The following is a 4,670-nucleotide window of genomic DNA, read 5'->3' as shown; positions in this document are numbered from 1 at the left end:
AAAGCAGGATATTAAAATGTCCTGCTATTATTGTAGGGCTGCCTATTTTAGCCTTCAAATCTGTCAATTTTTGCTTCATATATTTTAGAGTCTGTTGTTAGATGCAATGGTGTTTATAATTACCATCTTTTCTCAATGAATTGGCCATTTTTATTCATATTCAATATCTTTCTTTGTCTCATAACAATTTTTGACATAAAGTGTATATTTTTCTGATATTAATCATTCCATGTCTCTTTTGATTATTATTTGCATAGAATATACTTTTCTATCTGCTATGGTTTAAGTGTGTCTCCCAGAAAATTGTGTATTGGAAACCTAATCTTCAATGTAATAGTGTTGAGAGGTGGGCCCTTTATGAGGTAATTAGGTAATGAGGACACCAGCCTCATGAATGAATTAAGGTTGTTATTGTGGGTGTGAATTAGTTATCATGGAAGTAGGTTTCTACTAAAAAAGGATGAGTTTGGCCCAGTTTTCTCTGTCTCATGTGATCACTTCCTCACCATATTATTCCCTTCTACCCTGTTATGATGCAGCAAGATAGCCCTCACCAGATGCAACCCTTTGATCATGGTCTTCCAAGCCTCCAGAACCATGAGCCAAATAAATCTCTTTTCTTCACAAATTATCCAATCTGTGGCATTCTGTTATAGCAGTGGAAAGTGGACTAAGATATTATCCCTTCCTTTCAATCTACTTGTATCTGTGGAATTTCTTGCAGACTTGCAGACAGTACAAAGTTGGGTACTATTTGTCCATCCATTCTGCCCATCTTTGCCTTTTACTTTGGGACTTAAAATTACATTTAATCTAATTATTGGTAGGGGGGACATCCTTCTGCAATTTTGCTATTTGTTTTATATATATATATATATATATATATATATATATATATATATATATACACACATGCAAATATATATGTATATATAGTGTGTGTATATATATAGTGTATACATATAGTATATATATGTGTATGTATATATTTGTTTCTCAGTTGTTTACTGCTTATTTTGTGTTCAACAATTTTTTCAAGTGTACCATTTTGAATCCCTTCTTACTACCTTTACTGTATTTTTAAAAACTTATTTTATAGGTGTTTACTTTGGGATTACAATTAACATCTTAAATTTATAACAATCCAGTTTCAATTAATATTAACTTAGTTTTAATAGTATGGAAAACTGTTCCTATACATTTCCACCCTTCTTTATGCTGTTATTGCCACAAATTACATGTTTGTACATTGTGTGCTCATAGGTGATAACTAGAGTAATTGTGACAGAGAAATACAATTTTGTACCCAATATTATCAATAGGCTTTTGTTTTTTAATAAAAACAAGGGGATGTTTAGGTTTGTCTAAAATAGTGGTATTTTTTTCCAGAATATAAAAAACAGTAGAGAAAGACAGCTTGAGAAAGTTCAGCAAGTTTGAGGAAAATGAATTTTGTTTGCATAGTTTTTTAATATATGAGTCTGAAAATATACTAGCAAATGTCTTAAAAACAGTTGCAGTGAGCCAAGATCACACCACTGCACTCCAGCCTGGGCAACAGAGCAAGACTCCGTCTCAAAAAGAAAAAAAAAAAAAAAAAAAAAAAACAGTTGCAAAGTTTGTTTAGTTACTTAGCTGTTTAAAAGATTGTGCACTTTATATAAAGGCCCTAGGGATTTGTCAGTTCCCTTACTTTTCAGAAAACTGCCTTATTATAGCAGAAACATTAATCAAACCCTTGTGAAATCATTCTATATCGTATGTACTATACTTCATACATAGTTTTACTCTCTTCTGTTATATTATCGATTAATATAATAAACTGACAAGAGTTATTTAGTCTTACTAAACAGGTTTGTGTTTCCCTCTTATGCTTGCCCCAAGACTCTACTATGTGCTGCAAGCTGGAATTTGTGATTTAAACAAAAGCCAGCTTAGGACCCTATGGAAACAGCTGTTGCAGGGACTTAAACTATTGATACTTCAAGGAACAGACCAGAGGGAAAAGAAGTCTAAACTTAATTTGCTTAGAAATTTTTCAGAATGTACTAGTTTAGATTTCCAGTTAGTGACAGAGGTACTTCATGAAAGAAGACTGCTGACTCCACATTCACCAAAACAACAATTAATTGCATAGAACTCAGTGAACTGAGAAAATAAATTTAATTGTGGTTATTTGCTTAGGGTATTGATGATGCATTTTTATTAGAGGTTTATTGAGGTATCACTTACATACTATTAAGATTCAACCACTGTAAGTGGACAGGTTGATGACTTGTAAATTCATACAATAGTTGTGCAACCATTTCCATAATTCTGTTTTAGAAAAGTTCTATTTTTCCTCCAAGTTCCCTTTCCCTTTTATTTTCAGTATATATCTATACCCACACCTGAACTCAGACAACCATTAACCAAATTTTTTATCTTGTAGATTTGTCTTTTCCTGGACACTTTTCTGTAAATGGAATTACACAATATGTGGCCTTTTGTGTTTGGCTTCTCTCACTTGGCACACTGTTTCTGAGGTTCATCCATGTTGTGTTAGGTATCAGTAACAACAACTCTTCTATTGTTGAACAGCAATACGTTGTGTGCATATGCCACATTTGTTTATCTCCTCACTAGGTGATGGATATTTGGATTGTTTCTACATGTTGAGTGCCATGAACATTCACAAAAAAAGATTGTGTAGGGTGGGCGTTGTGGCTCACGCCTGTAATCCCAGCACTTTGGGAGGCCAAGGTGGGTGGATCACAAGGTCAGGAGATCCAGACCATCCTGGCTAACATGGTGAAACCCCGTCTCTACTAAAAATACAAAAAAATTAGCTGGGCGTGGTGGCAGGCACCTGTAGTCACAGCTACTCAGGAGGCTGAGGCAGGAGAATGGCGTGAACACGGGAGGCAGAGCTTGCAGTGAACCAAGATCGTGCCACCGCACTCCAGCCTGGGTGACAGAGCAAGACTCTGTCCCCCAAAAAAAAAAAAAAGATTGTTCAGATTCCATTTTTTTCATGGATAAATAAATAGAAGTGGAATTACTGGGTCATATATTATATTTAACTTAAAAAATCTGCCAAATAGTTTGCTATAGTGGAAATAACATATACATTACTGCCAGCAATGTAGGAGAGTTCAAGTTTCTCCACGTAATTATCAATTCTTAGTATTGCTGATCTGTCTGATTGCAGCCATTCTAGTATGTGTGTACTGGTCTCATTTGGTTTTAATTTACATTTTCCTAATGACTAATGATACTGAATATGAAAAGGCAAAGTATCTAGGTTAGTGCTATGGTTCAAATTCGTTTCCCAAAAAGCATATTTTGGAAATTTAATCCCCAATGCAACAGTGTTGGGAGGTGAGGCCTAATGGGAGGTGTTTAGGTCATGAACGCTCTGCCCTGTATGAATATATTAATGCCAATTATAGAAGGGCTTGAGGCTGTGAGTTCAATCTCTTTCTTTCTCTCACACTTTCTTGCCCTTCTGCCATGCGATGATGCAGCAAGAAGACCCTCACCAGATGCCAGTCTCTCAACCTTGAACTTCGCAGACTCCAGAGTTCTGAGCAAATACATTTTTGTTTACTATAAATTTCCCTGTTTATGGTATTCTGTTACAGCAGCATAAAACAGACTAAGACAATTAGCAAGCACAATCTTGAAAAAATGAAAATTAAGTTTGAAAAAAATCACAGTACCCAACTTCAAAACTTACTGCATAGCTATAGTAATTAAGTCAGCGTGATACCGGCAGACGGCTGGACATGTAGATGAATGGAACAGAATGGAAAGTTTTGAAATAGATCCAAAGAAGTATGGCCAAGTAATTTAGAGAAAGTTTCAATAGCAATTCATTGCAGCAATTGAATAGCAGTAGGAAAAGTAAACACATAAATAGGGAGAGGGGTTGTTGTATGCAGGTATTCGTGCTAGGCAAAGGGTTTAAAAGATGCTAATGTCCTTCATTTACTGTCTGTGCCGCCCTGAAGCCAAGTGTGTTACAGCATTATAGCCCCAGGCACATAACTAACTAGCACTGGCTTGCCAAGGAATGAACATGCCATGCCATTACTAGCTATTGAGGGAAAAGGGTCTGTGTGAAGCATCACTTTGCAGGGATTACTAATGGTGGGGCAGCAGGTCTGTGAATTAAGTTATCTCTTGACCTCACCCTCATGTCAACACAAATGTAATTCCTAAACAAGATGCATTGCCAGTCTCTTAGCCTTGTAAGCTAATCATTTGCTACATGGCAGACTATAATGAAAACATGTTTATACTTGGATTTCTAGTCTTCACTAGAAGACCTTGGATATATTTTTGCAGTTGAAAGATTTAGAAAGATTTTTACCTGCTTATAACTTGGAAGTTTAGCGTGCAATGTAAGAAAAAAGATCAAGAAATGTCATGTTATTAGCATCAGTCCACCTCCGATATTGCCGATCCTTTTTTTTTATTCTGGCTCAGTTTTATTTTGCACCAGTGCAGCCCCAAGTTACTGCTGGTTGTATTTAGTTTGTGAATAGGAGCCCATAAGTGTTAATAGACTTCGTAACATTCACTATAAGATGAATTATACAGGACATGGGAAATCTCATTAAGTCTTAAAGTTAATTTAAATTAATTTATCTGTTTTCTCTAAGAAAAGTTTATCATAAAATGTATAT

The 4,670-nt window shown here is 35.4% G+C and overlaps 1 annotated feature.

Annotated features, from left to right (window-relative positions):
- Nucleotides 3,638–4,167: an enhancer, noted in NCBI's record as "NANOG hESC enhancer chr7:49546835-49547364 (GRCh37/hg19 assembly coordinates)". NCBI's record gives its function as "activates a minimal SCP1, AML or CMV promoter by ChIP-STARR-seq in naive H9 embryonic stem cells {active_cell/tissue: H9 hESC(naive)}" and the evidence as "EXISTENCE:reporter gene assay evidence [ECO:0000049][PMID:30033119]".

This window comes from Homo sapiens, chromosome 7 (assembly GCF_000001405.40).
Source record: "Homo sapiens chromosome 7, GRCh38.p14 Primary Assembly".
Classification (NCBI taxonomy): domain Eukaryota; kingdom Metazoa; phylum Chordata; class Mammalia; order Primates; family Hominidae; genus Homo; species Homo sapiens.
This window is presented reverse-complemented; position numbering and strand designations above follow the sequence as displayed.